Source organism: Homo sapiens, chromosome 2 (assembly GCF_000001405.40).
Source record: "Homo sapiens chromosome 2, GRCh38.p14 Primary Assembly".
NCBI lineage: Eukaryota > Metazoa > Chordata > Mammalia > Primates > Hominidae > Homo > Homo sapiens.
In genome coordinates this window covers 157,729,864-157,747,865 of record NC_000002.12, presented here as the reverse complement: position 1 = coordinate 157,747,865, position 18,002 = coordinate 157,729,864, and the positions used below count along the sequence as shown (strand labels likewise).

Below are 18,002 nucleotides of genomic sequence, written 5' to 3'. Positions count from 1 at the left end.
TAAAATCAGCCACTGTCCTTTGGCAATGACTAATTTGATATTTTCTCTTTTGTTCTCTGTTCCCTCTTCTATGAACATTCACGTGTGTATACACACAATGTACACCCCCCCACACACAAATCAGTTTATCTAAACTTAAACCTGAAAGTATTCAATGCTGCTTGCAAACCTGTTTTACTACTGTTAGTCTTTTAATTATTACTCTCCCAAAACAGAAAAAAAATGAGTAGGAGAAATTGTGCCTTCAAATTTTAACATTCACATCTTTTTCTACTTCTGTATGCACCCATTTTTAAAACTTAGTTGTAATCATATATAGATATAATTCCGTATCATCTTTTTTATTCGTATTTTTTTTAATCTTGCTTAATAGGCTGTTTTTATTTTAAATGGTCACATGACATCTTATTAGCTTAACCATTTCCATATTGTTAGATATCCTGTTTCCACCATTTGGGGCCTATTGTAGACATTTTTGTGCACATGATGATTTCGTTCAGGGAAATGATTCTTAATCTGAAAATAAGTAGACTTAATAGGTCAAAGAATGTGGATGTTTTTATGGCTTGACACATATTGCCAAGTTGCTTTTCATAAAAGCTGTACTAATTTACAATATCCCCCATACCCTAGGGTGTGATGTGCCTATTTCATTTTCTTAGCAGCTTTAGGAACTGTCATTAAAAGAATATATATTTTTGAAATTATTGCATATAAAATGTATCTCATTTAAATATATGAATATCTTCTGTGAGGAAGGTCATTATAATGATACATCCTTTGAGTTTCTGAATGCATTATAAAAATTGATGACCAGATAGATCTCTTGGAGTAATATGATCCTCAAGTGAACCATGAGCATAAAAATATGTTGCATTTTTATATTTTTTATTGGAATTTTACATTTATTTGCTACTAATAATAAACCTCATGCTGTTTCTTTACAGGAAATGAGAGTTAAGTCCATTTTTGCATCTGAGCATTTCTCAATAGTGTCCTTTGGAATTTACTTTTGGTGTTTAATTTGACATTGAATTTGGAATTGGTAGGAAAGAAAACGGCTTTCTTACCTTCCCTGTGTGAATTTTCCATATGAACTTAAGGCAGGGGTTCACTCGGATCGATAGTTTTTAAACTGGAATGTGCATCACAGTCACCTAGAGTACTGAAGACACAGATTCCCGGGGCCCAGCCCCAGCATTTCTGATTTAGTAGTTCTAGGGTAAGAAAATGTGATGCCGAGGCTCCCAGCCAAATACACACGAGAGTTTTTGAAAAAAGACGGTGTACCCAGATTGAATAGACAAACACCAATTTGGTTGGATACATTAGCATGATGTGCTTCTGTCTTCCTTGCTGTGGTTCTCTTAGGGCCATTGCACTGCATACAGAAGTCTGTGTGAAGAGTGCACTCCGGAGCTGTGTGGGGTTTGTGCTGGGTCTGTGGGAGGCAGTGAAGTGGAATCACTAACATTCCAGAGTCTGACGTCATACTCTCTGACTCGATGACTTACATCAGTTTCGTTATTTAAAAAATAATAATATCTACTTTAAAGGGTTATGGTGATTAAATGAGATCGTATATGTAAAGCATCTCATGTGTGTCTGGCATATAGAAAGTGCTTTGGTATGGTTTCCTTTCCACGGAAAATGGGTGATGAAGGCCACCCAGGAGCTTGCAGATCACAGTGGCCGTCTTCTGCCTCTTGTTTTGCTACCTCTTGGCCCTAGTACATTTGTTTCCCCTCTTCACTGCCCACAGGAAGGCTCTGTGGACATACTCTTGTTTCACTGTTACTGGCTTTGATTATTTTGTGATGGAATCCAGGGTTAAAATGTGTCAAAAACCATTTGTATCTTGTAGAAAAATCCTTGCTGACCAAGTTGTGCCTCTTATGGGGTGGGGACTAGGACATACTTGTTAGAATAAGCTTATATTTGGTGCACTTACTTTGAAAAAAGAACCTCTTCTAATGAATCTTTGAGTCAGCCAGGGAGCTGCTTGTGCTTCTGCTCCTAAGTGCAATGGGGCTTGTGTATGGAAACCATGACAACTCCTATTTTTGTCAGCAACTCAATATCCAACATGTTTCATGACGTTAATTACCTACTTTTGTGTGTATTAAGGTTTGCATAAGAGGATAAATCATATTAGGGCCAATTTTTTGTATTCATTAATTTCAGTTTTTTTGTTTGTTTTAACATTTAGGACAATGACTGGGGGCAGGAATATGGAGGTGGGGTGGGAGGGAAGAATTATTTTCCCCCTGACTTCCTGGAATTTCATGTCCCTGATTTAGAGATCCAGAACAGAGGAGAGTAGTCAACTAACCTCATGACAAAATAAGTTGAAGGCTGCAAAACTTTATTGGCTGCTGTTTACTGACTAGTAGTCTCTTTTCCTTGACACACTTCTAAAAGCAGTCTTTCACCAAGAGAAATATCTGTATCCTAAACCTTGTAACAGCCACAACATTCAGTGAATGATACATTTTTCTGAAGAAGCCTTTCTTCATAGCTACCAAATGTTTGGAACTCTTGTGGTGCTCCTCTCTTTCTCGATTTTGGAGGTATGCAAGCTCTAAGGCTGTCTTGTTCATAGTTTAACCCAGGGAATAGCCATGCAGCATCTCTAGGCTTTTTGCCCTCTCCTTTGACAACTTACAGTAATATTGACACATGCTTTTAGTAGGGTCCAACTACACAGTAATCTATAAACCATTTACTTTTGCTGTGTTACATCGATGAGAATTCCAACAATAGAAATTAATTTTATAATTTTAACAGATTCCTGAGAATGCAATTAGTTTGGACTTTGAGTAATGTACATGGCTCCGTAAGCCCATGAATTACAATGGGCTAGAGGGGCAGGACACAGCTGTCACAGCATGTACTTTACCCAGCATGGGACAAGGCTGTCTTTCCAACTCCTGTTTTCAGGAAGAAGTGCCTGCCATGAGTTACAGGAATGCCTGAGGTACTGATTCTCATAACCCTCTGGCAGTGTGGCCGGGCCAAGCGGCCAGAACTCGGGCTGTCATCCCCTCTGCCATGAACAGCCTCATCCATTTATTCATTAGTCATGTTTTATCTGTGCCGTGGCATGAGAAATATCTCGAAGCCCTCTTGTGAGGTATGTTAGGTGAAGTAACCCAAATATTGGATATACCTTTTTGAATCATGTCTCACCAGGAAGAATGATGCCTTTCTGTGAACTCAGTGTTTCCCAATTCATTCATACTGCCCTCATCATTTTTTTCCATATCCAAATGCTACTTTGTGCCATCATTTACAGAATCTTTTCCTTCAAATTGGCTAACTCTTTTCAAAGTTAATTTTGTTTTGAAAGGAAATTATTATCACTGCTGGAAATGGAAAACCAGTATCACATGGCATAAAATGGAAGATAACTATGAAAATAAATATGTAACTAATGAGATGAAAAAGTTTAGTCCATGAACCACATCAAATTTTCTCACGTGCCACACCTGAAGGAAACACTGTATTCACTTATAGTGCTCTCAGATGCCAAATATGGGCCATTTTCTTTTTTTCCCTCTCTAAAATAGCTTTACTTCTAATGCTCTGTCCTCTGAAGGATTTCAGCGCTTCTGTAGGAGTTAATTGTTAAAAATAGCTCTTTGTATGGATATACATGCCAGAGACTCTGTCCTCATTACCTGGATATCTGATGTGACTACCCAAGTTGGAGGATTATGAAGAGAGTTTGTAATGAGAAGTAGGCACACTGTGGCATGAGATGCAAGGAGAGAGAGAAATGTCTTTCATTATCCCATGGGTGGCTTGTAAGGGAGAATTCTAGAATATAAACAGAAAATTGGATTCTAGTTTAACTTTGCCATTAATTAGCTGTGAACTTGAAAAGTACTTTTTCCAATGTGACCCTCAATTTCTTTTGAAGGAAAGGAAGGATGGAATTCTCATGGCTCTAACTTCCCATCAGTTCCTCTTTCCCTTACCTTTGGCTAATTCAAAGCATAGCCAGGTCCACAGTTTCTTATCTGCAACTGAGAAGTCCCCAAAACTTTGAAACTCGAAAGCTTTTTCATAACTTATTTGACAGAACACTTGACCTGAACTCATGTGATAGTCAAACATGACCTGAATGGACGTGTGTCAGTGTATAACCTTTATTTATTCCATCTAGTGTGACTGGTCATATATTTTGCTGAAGAAATATATTTGATCATGGGGATACTCCTTAGACTTTGCTGGGGATGTTACATAAAATATAGGGTATGCTATTACCTTTATAAAATGTAAAAAGTTCCAAATTTGGCAAATGCATCTAACCTTGAGAGTTTTGAAAAAGGATTATGGACATATATAATCAACATTTATTTGTGTATCTAGTGTCTGTAATACACTAGGTGTTGTGTTAGGCTCTGGGGAAGCACTTGGGCAAAAAATCCCCAGAATATCCGATTTAAAGGTGCTCACATTCTTGTTGAAGAGTCAAATTATTATAAATAAATAGATCAAGTCACTGTGGTTGAGGTATACAGGAAAGTGACTGAGTATGGGGGTGAGGGCACTGAACTTTGTCTAGGCCCCTGTGTTGTGGTAGCAGGATGGGACAGTCTTCTCAGAAGGTGAGAAGCATGAATTGAGTCATCTGTGGGTTGAATAAGAACCTAGTTGGACAAGCTTGGGAGGATGTGAGGTGCAGGTGGGAATGAGAAATAAAACTTGACCACGATGACAGTTGGTATGCCAGACAAAAGGTAGGCTGAAGGATCCCATAAAGGTGCCCTGTTGATGGAACTACAAGTAATTCTGGTGTGGCTGATGTCCAGGTATGTGAAGGACAGTGGTGGGGAATGGACTTTGGTGGGGAGGGAGTGGGCTCCCATGGACGGCACTGATGGAAAACATGCAGAGGAGGGGCACGGTGAACTCCTTTTTCAGCTTTCTCCTACAGATCTCACTGAGGGCAGTGGGATAGGGTGGAGGTTGGCAGGGGAGGACTGATGCAGAGAGACCTGCGGGTCCCACATGCAGCTGTCAAGCGGAAAGAAGATGGCTGTCTAGTTCAGGACCTCGGGGGCAAGATCTTGAGGAAGGACTTGTTTCTGGACATTTGAGAGGCTACTGGCGTTTCATGCTTTTCAAAGTGCATGTCTAGGACATATTTGATCTGCACGTTGGCTTTGTGGTGTGTGCTTTAAAGGTATTGGAAAACTAAGGCCTGGCAGCTAAGGGGTTTACTCAGAGCCATATAGCAAACTAATGGGAGGGATATTGGTTGATAAAGATAGGCTTACCCCAAAAAAGAGAAAACTTTCAACTAGACATATGCCCAGGAAAAAACTATTGTATAAATCAGACACCCCTGCCAAAAGTTGTGGGGGAGTAGGTTATGAATAATGTTTTTTATTTCTTTCTCGTGGCCCTTTGAGTCACGCTGGCCGCCTTACATGGGAGGCGAGGCCTGGCTCAGTCTGTTCCGTCCCTGGCCACCATTTAAGAGCGCCTCTTCCCCTGCCTTCCTGTGTCATTTGTTGTTTGCACTGCTCATTTGGCACTTGAAGTGCTTTGTATTTTTAGTTACTTGCCTGAATTCATGCTGTGCTCTTTGCTGGCTCACGATTTGGCAGTAACTTCTTGGGTGCTGCCTCTAAAGGACTTAGAGTTCACTTTTTTGCCTGGCTACGCTGATTATCGCTTTCTGGCAGAAATGAGGCACTGTTGTAAATCAGTCATTTCCTACCTTGACAGCAGGTGTCACCTCGCAGTCTGGCCTCACCTCCTGTCCCCTTCTTCTCCCCCGGCTCTCCTGCCACCACATGCACCTATTTCAGCCCCAGAGAACTTCTCTCCACCTCTCCAACGTCAGAGGATGGTTTGTCAGTTCCTGTCCTTGCCCCATAGCCTCCCTCTGCCTGGAATGCACCCACTCCGTAGGGGTTTCTCTTCCCTGTCATCTTTTCTGCCTTGCAAACTCTTGACCTTTCTATTCTGCCCATGCCCCACTTCCCTCCTGGAAGGCTTACCTGTGCTTCCACGGCACCCAGTTTATATATGGGGACTTGTGATACCATGGAGGTGTTTCCTCCTCTGAGCCCTGCCAAGTGCCACTGTCCCTCCCCACTGTCTTCTCTGTTCTCTTCCCTCTAAAGCTAGTCTGTAATTTTTTTTCTTTCACCTTTCTCATTATTCTGCTCCTCATTACCAACACTGCATCTTTTTCTTTTCTTTTTTCTTTTTTTTTTTTCTTTTTGGAGACAGAGTCTCTGTCTGTCACCAGGCTATAGTGCAGTGGCACTATCTCGGCTCACTGCAACCTACGCCTCCTGGGTTCAGGCGATTCTCCTGCCTCAGCCTCCCTAGTTGCCTGGACTACACGCACACACCACCACACCAAGCTAATTTTTGTATTTTTAGTAGAGACGGGGTTTCACCATGTTACCAGGATGGTCTTGATCTCTTGACCTCATGATCTGCCCACCTCAGCCTCCCAAAGTGCTGGGATTACAGGCGTGAGCCACCGTTTTTTCATCTTTTATCCCTCCTGCCAAGCACAGCCTCGGGCACACCCAGCTAATCAAAATGGCCATTGAGTCAATTTAGGATCTCACAAGTGAAAGTAGAATGAGAATTTCTAATATAGTTTTGCCTTTCAAGGTACAAAGTAAATGGGTGAAAAAAGATTTTGAGGTTCTTTTTGACAAGATTTCCATTGTCTCAGGGAAAAAAAAATGAGAGACTTGTCCTGCTCTTCCACTAGACTTTTGATTTCCTTGGAAAACAAGAGCATGTCTTATATTTTTATCACTCTCAGCATTTAATACGGCATCCTACCATAGCAGTAATGCACTTTCAACTGATTTATTGCTTGATCAGAGGGAGTTCGTAGTGACTGTTAGAGCTTAATCCCAGGTTTATTTTATTTTGGAGAAGCATGGCCAGCGTCAGGTGAAAACAATCAACAGTTGGCCAATGATTGAGGAAAAAGAGGCTTGACTAAATCCCAGGGATAATCAGTTAAATGGTCTTTTAAAAATACTTGACTCCTTTTATTAAAACATGGGGACATTTAATAAAATTGAAACATGGGAAACGGAAACACAAGGGCAAACTTCAGCTTTGTATAGTGAAATTCATTGTTTGGTATCACCAGATCTCATGTTTTAAAAATCCAGCCATGCTTTGTTTCCTTTTGCATTTATAGAAAACTTCAACTTTGTATTACCGTTCACATTCACATAACCCTTTCTAAGCTCAACAGGTAAATTACTCCAAAAAGATGGCTGTTATGCTAGATTTTTAAATATTAAGCCAGGCTATTAAATATATTCTCTTTCAGAAAAATTGAGAGATGGTGAAGGGCACGTGTCTTACTGTTTTCTGTAAATTCTTGTGACCCTAGAAAACGCATAAAATATCTCTCTAGGTCCATGTTCAGCTGTATTTTAGATGGTGTCTGTTAGTACTGAAAATAATTAAAAGATTTTTGTTTGAATGTTTCCTGGGATCCTTACAGGAGAAGAAGGGCCTCTAAGATGAGGTGTTCCAAGATTTCTGAGAGTAGCAGTTTATACCCAATATGATGTTTATGATTTGCCAGGAAAGGTTTTAATCCACTGACTGATATGCATTTCAAATGCAGTTACACAATGTGGGTAAGTTATTTGGAATTAACTAGTTTTTTTTTTTTTTTGAGACAGAATCTCACTCTGTCACCCAGGCTGGAGTGCAGTGGTCTGATCTTGGCTCATTGCAACATCCACCTCCCGGGTTCAAGCAAATCTTGTGCCTCAGCCTCCTGAGTTAGCTGGAACTACAGGCACGCGCCAACACACCCGGCTAATTTTTGTATTTTTAGTAGAGACAGGGTCTTGCCATGTTGCCCAGGCTTGTCTCGAACACTGACCTCAAGTGGTCCACCCACCACGACCTCCCAAAGTGCTGAGATTACAGGCGTGAACGACCACACCCAGCCTAGATTTTTAAAAAATATAATTTAGACTTGTTTCCATCTCAAATATAAACCTTTATTTAGCCAAATTTGTGAAGTTTTAAAAAGATATGTAGCATTTCTTGAAAAGATGCTCCTTATATCTAATCTTTTGCATAAATGGTTTGTATTTGTATGGAATTTGTAAGGATGGATTCCCACTGTTGAGTAATTTCTGTGATAAATGAAAAGGGAATTGAAGCTTTTCAGGTGGCTTGTAGGAACTAGAACAACCGAATTACAACTTTCCTCACACTCCTTCTGTCGCCTCCAACAACTTCTTAGGTATTTAGGAATAGAAGAAAGTCGCCTGGAGGAAGAAAAGAGAGCAGTAAACCAAGTTATTACCTCATTGTTTGAACCCTTTGTTGAGGGAAAGGAAATAATAGATGTCTTGGTTTTATTTCTATGAAGGGGAAGAATCCATTTTCTAATTCCAAATGATGAAGTTAAAAATTTTTCTGTTTAAGGAGTTGATATAATTCTGCTGGAAAAGAAAAAGTTTCCAGGCCATTGGAAATCATGCAGGGGCAGAAGCTGGTATTAGCTACTGTTCATATTTGCTTTTGGGCAGAGGAAGAGTTCATTATTTATCCTTCTTTTCCTCTGCCTTCCCACATGGCTATCCTCTTTACATTTTATTTTGTGCCTTCAATATGATAGTAAATAATAGAGCCATCAGTCAGACAGCTGTGCCTGTAGTTAGAGGGTACTCAGTACATGTAGAATGAATGAATGAGGAAATGAGTATTTCCTATGATATTATTTGCATCCCTCCTAATGGAAGAGATTAATTTATAGCAATGTTTTTCTTAACAAAATACTTTTCTAACAAAGAAAGGGGTATTTTGATGATGGTCTTGGTTTATTACTCCCTAGCTCTAGTTTGTGGACAACTTTTTATTTCTATTTATGGTTTGAAACCACTAGATTCAGGTACTTTCCATAGGTAGCTTGGGTGGTTTTTATCACCAAAGGAATTTTTGTTCTATGTCTCCAGTGCCCTGTTGGGCGTTACAGAGCTGTTAATATACACTGTTGGAGAATTTTGCTAATAGTTATGATTACATGAGAAGTTTTCACGTATTTCCTTCTAACAATTATCCTTCTTCCAATACCATGCAGGGTGTGTATTTATTGCCTTTTTCTCCCACCTGTTTTAGGACCTACCTCTAGCTTCCAGGACTGCCCTGAGGTATGAGGAAGGTGATTAGTATTTTCTTCTGTCACATTATAACCTGTGACACCCATCAATGAAACCTTGGGGCAACCTGTACTCTCTTGCTAACCGAACACAATTCTTGTCCTTGTGTGCAGGTATAGTGGAGGATTACAAGCCACCGTTCTACGATGTGGTTCCCAATGACCCAAGTTTTGAAGATATGAGGAAGGTAGTCTGTGTGGATCAACAAAGGCCAAACATACCCAACAGATGGTTCTCAGACCCGGTAAGAATGCCAGTTTCTCAGTTTTAGAGCTCTTTTCCATTGTTTGCTATTTGTTTCCCTTTGAGTTTCAACTGGTATTGCATCTGAGTGATCTGTCCCGTGGATCTGTTGTTTTCTCTTCCTATTTTATATAGAAGGGTTTAGATCTAGAAGAGTAAGTTCAGAAAAATACTCCATTCTTGAAGAAGCCATATCTCATAGGGGTTGCTAGTGAATGACAATATTTGTAAGAATTTCTGTGAATATGCAGCTTCAGGAATCGGGAGACTCATGACTACTGCTATTAGCCCTAAGACTGCATGTATAAACCAAGAGACTTTAAGTGAAGCTTTTAACCTCCTTTCCATCTCTGTATATCTGAAATCCCAAACACAAGCTGCTGGATGCTGAAGATCCTGTATTGCTACTCATAAGTAGTAGCAGGTATAAAACAATGAGAAATGACCCTATTTGGAAATTTCAGGATTATCTCTAGGTTAGTATTGCTGCTTTTGGCACCCATAAAATCATTAAGGGGTCCAATCTGGCCTATGTCGTTTACCTAATAAATTGGTAGCATTAAGAGTCCAAAGGACAGAGTTCATGAAATTCTAAGAATGGCCTCTTTATCAGTGGTTAAAGGTTGAATATTTGCTTGAAGAAGATGACAGTAACATAACTCTAATTTCACAAGACCTGCGAGTTCTTCAGAATAGTAGACATGATATCAGCCCAGCTTCCAGGGCCATTAAAAAGCCAGTTTGTCATTGTGGTGTTTGTTCTTTCTCTCCTCAGACATTAACCTCTCTGGCCAAGCTAATGAAAGAATGCTGGTATCAAAATCCATCCGCAAGACTCACAGCACTGCGTATCAAAAAGACTTTGACCAAAATTGATAATTCCCTCGACAAATTGAAAACTGACTGTTGACATTTTCATAGTGTCAAGAAGGAAGATTTGACGTTGTTGTCATTGTCCAGCTGGGACCTAATGCTGGCCTGACTGGTTGTCAGAATGGAATCCATCTGTCTCCCTCCCCAAATGGCTGCTTTGACAAGGCAGACGTCGTACCCAGCCATGTGTTGGGGAGACATCAAAACCACCCTAACCTCGCTCGATGACTGTGAACTGGGCATTTCACGAACTGTTCACACTGCAGAGACTAATGTTGGACAGACACTGTTGCAAAGGTAGGGACTGGAGGAACACAGAGAAATCCTAAAAGAGATCTGGGCATTAAGTCAGTGGCTTTGCATAGCTTTCACAAGTCTCCTAGACACTCCCCACGGGAAACTCAAGGAGGTGGTGAATTTTTAATCAGCAATATTGCCTGTGCTTCTCTTCTTTATTGCACTAGGAATTCTTTGCATTCCTTACTTGCACTGTTACTCTTAATTTTAAAGACCCAACTTGCCAAAATGTTGGCTGCGTACTCCACTGGTCTGTCTTTGGATAATAGGAATTCAATTTGGCAAAACAAAATGTAATGTCAGACTTTGCTGCATTTTACACATGTGCTGATGTTTACAATGATGCCGAACATTAGGAATTGTTTATACACAACTTTGCAAATTATTTATTACTTGTGCACTTAGTAGTTTTTACAAAACTGCTTTGTGCATATGTTAAAGCTTATTTTTATGTGGTCTTATGATTTTATTACAGAAATGTTTTTAACACTATACTCTAAAATGGACATTTTCTTTTATTATCAGTTAAAATCACATTTTAAGTGCTTCACATTTGTATGTGTGTAGACTGTAACTTTTTTTCAGTTCATATGCAGAACGTATTTAGCCATTACCCACGTGACACCACCGAATATATTACTGATTTAGAAGCAAAGATTTCAGTAGAATTTTAGTCCTGAACGCTACGGGGAAAATGCATTTTCTTCAGAATTATCCATTACGTGCATTTAAACTCTGCCAGAAAAAAATAACTATTTTGTTTTAATCTACTTTTTGTATTTAGTAGTTATTTGTATAAATTAAATAAACTGTTTTCAAGTCAAACAGTGAAATTGTTTTTCAAAATATAAAAAAGATCTGTGTAACATTATGCATTTTCTTATGGGAGCAATAGAAGCACAAAACTAATTTGTAAATTGAATTTGCTTTTTAAATCTACTCATGAACTTATGTAAGACATCATAAGGATGTCTTACAGCTTGAATTTGGTATAAGAAAATTTGTTTCTTCCTTTGGCTGTGATTTTTTTGTTTTTTTGTGTTTTTTTTTCAGTCAGTTTCTCCAGCTGTAAGGTGAGGGTAACAAATCTCTCTGACCTGCCTTTCTCACAGGGGGGTGTTGTGAGTGTAAACGGGAAGGAGGATGTTAAAGCATTTTGTTGAGTGAAAGGTTCCACGTGAGTGTAAAGTGGTCTTATGCATCCGCCCTTGCTGCTTGGGAGAGTCCGTTCTCGGTTTTTTCACTGCTTGTACACAAGATTAAAAGGTAGAGTTAACAGTAGCCCAATAAGAGAAGAGGTGTGAACATGCCGGAATGTCTTCCAGAGGTAAGTTAATAACTTCATTAGGATGTATTTACTTGGAGGGTATATATTAGAATGACATTTTTTTAAATTACAAATCAAAATTTTAATTTGTGTTACAGATAACATAAAACTTACTAATTTTTAAGTGTATGTTAAGTGCATTCACCTTGTGCTACTATCACCATCATCTATCCACAGAACTCACGTGAAACTGAAACTATATCTGTCAAACAGTAACTCCCCATTCCTCCCTCCTTGGTCCCTGGCAACCATTATTCTACTCTGTGTCTCTGTGAGTTTGGTTACTCTAAGCACCTCATGGAATCATGTAGTATTTGTCCTTTTGTGAGACTGGTTTATTTTACTTAACATTATATCTTCAAGGTTCATTCATGTTGTAGCATGTGTTTGAATTTCCTTCCTTTTTCAGGCTGAATAATACTCCACATTTGTATATACAAACTGTTTATCCATCCATCCACTGAGGGACACTTGAATTGCTTCCATCTTTTGGCTTTTGTGAATAATGCCACCATGAACATGAGTGTGCAAATGTCTGAGTTCTTGCTTTCTATTCTCTTGGGTATATGCCCAGAAATGGAATGGCATTACATTTAACTTTTATTAAAATATTACATATATCAAAGTATACATATATAAAAGTGTACAACCTGATGAATTTTTATGAATTTATTACATCCATGGAAGCAGCACCCAGATGAGGAAGCAGAGCATGCCAGAAGTCTCCCTCTTGCTGCTACCTCACTCTCCAACCCCAAGAGTAACCACCTTCCTGACTTCTAAAAGCATTGATCATATTCTTTTCTTACTGAAGACTTTATAAATGGAATCATACCAGAAGTGTGCATGCAGGAGTGCACTCTCTGGGTAATAGGGTCCAGTGTATGTTAGGCTTTAGTAGATGTTACCAAACCATCTTCTTCACAAAGGGTTATTCAGTGTTTATTCCCATTAGCCGACTATGAGAGTTCTGGTTCTGCATCTTCAACAGTACTTAGTATGTTCTTCCTTTTCATTTTAGTCTCCATCTTCAACAGTATGTCCTTCCTTTTCATTTTAGTCTTTCTGTTGAGTATTATGCATATTTCAGCAAAACAAAGACACAAATGGGAGAGAGTGAATAACTCATTCTATTTAAAGAGCTCTTACCATTCCCCTCAAGCGAGTCTTTTTGAAGAGACTTGGCCCTTCCATCCTGCTTCCTGTTCTGTCAGCCTCACCCCAGCCTCCTTTCTTAACCCCGGCAGCAGCCATTTTTTGCAGTAGCAGTAGGTGAATCTAGTTTGCAGTTGTTCTAAAATTTGCAGAAGCACCTTTATTGTGCCCTTACCTCAGAGATGCCAGTATTGACTGACCAGGGTTCACACCTCAGACGGCTGCCCTGCCTTCAAACTCAGAGACACCAGTACCAGCTCAACAGGACCTCCTCCTCAGAGGCCCAAGGATCAGCTCTCTGGGTGCTCCCCTTTAAACCTCAAAGTTCTGGTAATTCCAACCACTTCCCTTTGTTCCTTTAGCCTTGGTGTAGCTGTATATTAGTCTGTTCTCATGCTGCTATGAGGATATACCCGAGACTGGATAATTTATAAAGGAAAGAGGTTTAATTGACTCACAGTTCAGCATGGCTGGGGAGGCCTCAGGAAACTTACAATCATGGCAGAAGGAGAAGCAAACACATCCTTCTTCACATGGTGGCAGGGAGAAGAATGAGAACTGAGCAAAGTGGGGAGCCTCTTATAAAACCGTCAAATCTCGTGAGAACTTACTGTCATGAGAATAGCGTGAGGGAAACCACTCCCATGATTCAATTACCTCCCACTGGGTTCCTCCCATGACACATGGGGATTGCAATTGTTATGGAAACTACAAGATGAGATTTGCGTGGGGACACAACCATACCAAGCTGCTGTCTCTAGTTGATTCCTCTGTGGTACTTTTTGTTTTTGTTTTTGAGAAGGGGTCTTACTCTTTTACCCAGGCTGGAGTGCAGTGGTGCAATCACGGCTCACTGCAGCTTCAAACTGGGATCAAGTGATCCTCCCATCTCAGCCTCCCAAGTAGCTGGCACTACAGGCGTGCACCTCTATGCCTGGCTATCTCCATGCCACTTTAATGTCTTTTTGGCCTTTTCTGTTATGTAACTAATAATTTGTTATTCCTAGTCAACTATTCTCTCTACTGAAAAACAAAAAACTGATGTAGTATCCTGACTGGACTTGGACTGATGGAAGCATTATCCCATTCATTATCTCTTTTGTGGTACTCATTAAGGTAGGTAGAACAGGTGTTATATCTCCAATTTACACACCAGAAAGTGCTGCAGTGATGAAGTGTGATTGTTCAGCTTATTAGTAGCAGAACTAAAATCAGATAATTACTACGTTTTTAGGCTAGAGCTCTCTCAGTTACCTGTGACTCCTTCACCTCTATCCCCACCCTTGCCTTTCAGTTTATATATTTCCCTAGGAGAAGGACTAAGAAAATAAAGGGCATTTGGCCCGACATTTGTTGTTTTATTTCTTAATGTGTTTATATTTCACAGGAAGATCAAGTGACACAAGTCCTGGGCAAATCTCTTTTTTTTCTAGAATATTTGCTCCCCAACAAGAAGGGATGATCTTCCTGTTGCCTCTCACCCTATCCCAAAATAATTTCTTCACTGAAATTGGAATGCCCTGAAGGACTCTCTCAATCGCTATAGGCCTGTGTTATATGTGAGCACTTCTTTGGGTCCCAAGCTTTCTTTTCAAAGCATTCTGACTCTTATTCTCCTTCTGCCAGGGACCGAGGATACAGTAGACTTGTCCCTCGGTATACGCAGGGGATTGGTCCCAGGACACCAATTCATGCACACTCAAGTCCCACAGTTGGCCTTGCAGAACCCTTGCATAGGAAACGTTGGCCCTCCCTATATGCAGGTTTTACATCCTGCGAATACTGTTTTTGATTGAATTTGTGAATATAAGTAGACCCATGTAGTTAAACCCGTGCTGTTTAAGGGTCAGCTGTATTTCAAAACCTAATGAATTCACATTTTTGAGGAGTGTCCTATTGTGCAAGACCTACACTGTAGAGTGTGACCTGCTGCACTGTCATTTTGACAGTTTCCATTAGCCGAATCACTCTGAATAACTGTTACCCTCTCCATGCAACTCTCTCTTATTGGATGAGGTCACTAAAGTTGCTTGGAAACTCCTCAGCTTGGAATTTAAAGTGCATCCATGATTCACTTATTTGACAAATAAATTTTAGTGTCAAATACCAGAGAAGAGAGGCTTCTGTCCTGTGCTTCCTCTCACACTGGTGACCCTTTGCGTTTGGCTTTGTTAAATCCCTTTGTTTATTCTGCTGGCCTTACGTATTTTTGTTTTGTCTCACCCGTTAGATAGATATTAATCATAATAATTACAATGCTAATGTTTACTGAGCATTTACTACATGCTGGGTTATTTGCTTACTGTTGAACAGGTATTCCTCATAGAAATATTAGGAGGTTGGTACTATTATTATTTTTATTTTACATTTAGAGAAGCTGAGGTTTGTGGAGGTTATAATAGTGTCCATCACACAACCAAAAATACAGTTGAGTTGGGATTTGAGCCCAGGTAGACTATTCTAGCACCTGGACTCTTAATTAATATGCTGTATGCTGCTGTTTGTTAAAAGAGATTACACATTTTTTCTACTTTTTTTTGCGTGAAAATGTTATCGACTTCTTTTCAATAGAATATGCATACTGAATTGCTGTGTTATGAATTGGGAGAGGTTGGCTTTCTTTTTCCGGCAAATGATCTTTTCCTCTTATTTAGTTTTAGTGTTTTTATAAATGAATTCAGGATACCAATTTACATGCCAGATAGGAAGTCAGTTGTTGAAAAAATGCCTAGAAAAAAGTATCCAGTTATACCAAAATATTTAACATGATTATCTCTGAGTGGTGTTGCTCTGTGTTATTTCTTCATTTTTTTTGTAGTTTTCATCTTTCTAAAATGAGATTGTATTTTGGAAGGTTGAAGTTATGGGAGTATTGTGCTGATTTGGGATGTCAGGTGGTCTATAGTGTTCTACAAGGTTTATAATAAAACCCAGCAATCCTGGGCTATTTTCTGCTTTCATTTTCCCCTTCCCCAGTAGCAACAATTTTCTATTTTTTTTTTTTTAGTTATGCTTTGAGTTCTGGGATACATGTGCAGAACATGCAGGTTTGTTACATAGGTATACACGTGCCATGGTGGTTTGCTGCACTCATCAACTCGTCATCTACATTAGGTATTTCTCCTAATGCTATCCCTCCCCCAGCTCCCCATCCTGCGACAGGCCCCAGTGTGTGATGTTCCCCTCCCTGTGTGTCCAGGTATTCTCATTATTCAACTTCCAATTATGAGTGAGAACATGCGGCGCTTGGTTTTCTGTTCCTGTGTTAGTTTGCTGAGAATGATGGTTTCCAGCTTCATCCAGGTCCCTGCAAAGGACATGAACTCATCCTTTTTTATGGCTGCATAATATTCCATGGTGTATATGTGCCACATTTTCTTTATGCAGTCTATCATTGATGGGCATTCGGGTTGGTTCCAAGTCTTTGCTATTGTGAATAGTGCTGCAATAAACATACATGTGCATGTGTCTTTATAGTAGAATGATTTATAATCCTTTTGGTATATACCCAGTAATGGGATTGCTGGGTCAAATGGTATTTCTGGTTCTAGATCCTTGAGGAATTGCCACACTATCTTCCACAATGGTTGAACTAATTTATACTCCTACCAACAGTGTGAAAGTGTTCATATTTCTCCACATCCTCTCCAGCATCTGTTGTTTCCAGACTTTTTAATGATTGCCATTCTAACTGGCATGAGATGGTATCTCATTGTGGTTTTGATTTGCATTTCTTTAATGACTGGTGATGATGAGCTTTTTTTCATGTTTGTTGGCTGCATAAATGTCTTCTTTTGAGAAGTGTCTGTTCATATCCTTTGCCCACTTTTTTATGAGGTTTTTTTCTTGTAAATTTGTTTAAGTTCCTTGTAGATTCTGGATATTAGCCCTTTGTTAGATGTATAGATTGCAAAAATTTTCTCCCATTCTATAGGTTGCCTGTTCACTCTGATGATAGTTTCCTTTGCTGTTCAGAAGCTCTTTAGTTTAATTAGATTCCATTTGTCAATTTTGGCTTTTGTTGCCATTGCTTTTGGTGTTGTAGGCATGAAGTCTTTGCCCATGCCTATGTCCTAAATGGTATTGCCTAGGTTTTCTTCTAGGGTTTTTATGGTTTTAGATCTTCCATTTAAGTCTTTAATCCATCTTGAGTTAATTTTTGCATAAGGTGTAAGGAAGGGGTCCAGTTTCAGTTTTCTGCATATGGCTAGCCAGTTTTCCCAACACCTTTTTTTAAATAGGGAATCCTTTCCCCAGTGCTTGTTTTTGTCAGGGTTGTGAAAGATCAGATGGTTGTAGACGTGTGGTGTTATTTCTGAGGTGTCTGTTCTGCTCTGTTGGTCTGTAAAGCTGTTTTGGTACCAGTACCATGCTATTTTGGTTACTGTAGCCTTTTGTTATAGTTTGAAGTCAGGTACCATGATAACTCCAGCTTTGTTATTTTTGCTTAGGATTGCCTTGGCTATACAGGCTCTTCTTTGGCTCCACATGAAATTTAAAGTAGTTTTTTCTAATTTTGTCTAGAAAGTCAATGGTAGCTTGATGGGGATAGCATTGAATCTATAAGTTACTTTGGGCAGTGTGGCCATTTTCACAATATTGATTCTATCCATGAGCATGGAATGTTTTTCCATTTGTTTGTGTCCTCTCTTATTTCGCTGAACAGTGATTTGTAGTTCTCCTTGAAGAGGTCTTTCACATCCCTTGCAAGTTGTATTCCTAGGTATTTTATTCTCTACCCCAGTGGCACCTGGAACATTTTCTGTTATTTAAATGATCTCTACTGGTCTTTGCTTTGATTTTCAAAATAGCATATTTGCCCTTCTGTTTATTGTTTTTTTTTTTGTGAGTTGTAAACATTAATGGAGCTCTTTTACCATCATTTCCTCACCCTCATGCTACACACATATATACATCCTCCCTCT

The 18,002-nt window shown here is 39.5% G+C and overlaps 1 protein-coding gene across 7 annotated transcripts in view, besides 1 other annotated feature; it reads left to right on the top strand.

Moving 5' to 3' along the window:
• Positions 1-11,420, top strand: part of ACVR1 (activin A receptor type 1) — a 139,885-nt gene extending 128,465 nt beyond the window's left edge. For all 7 annotated transcript variants that reach the window (NM_001111067.4, NM_001347665.1, NM_001347664.1 and 4 more), the window contains 2 exons: positions 9,296-9,426; positions 10,201-11,420. In NM_001111067.4, coding sequence (NP_001104537.1) covers positions 9,296-9,426; positions 10,201-10,335 — 266 coding nt within the window. In that variant the 3' untranslated portion in view covers positions 10,336-11,420. The remainder of the gene's footprint in view (positions 1-9,295; positions 9,427-10,200) is intronic.
• Positions 12,742-13,941: an enhancer, noted in NCBI's record as "BRD4-independent group 4 enhancer chr2:158590437-158591636 (GRCh37/hg19 assembly coordinates)". NCBI's record gives its function as "activates an origin of replication core promoter dependent on BRD2, P300/CBP, MED14 and CDK7 cofactors, and independent of BRD4, by STARR-seq in HCT116 cells {active_cell/tissue: HCT116}" and the evidence as "EXISTENCE:reporter gene assay evidence [ECO:0000049][PMID:35650434]".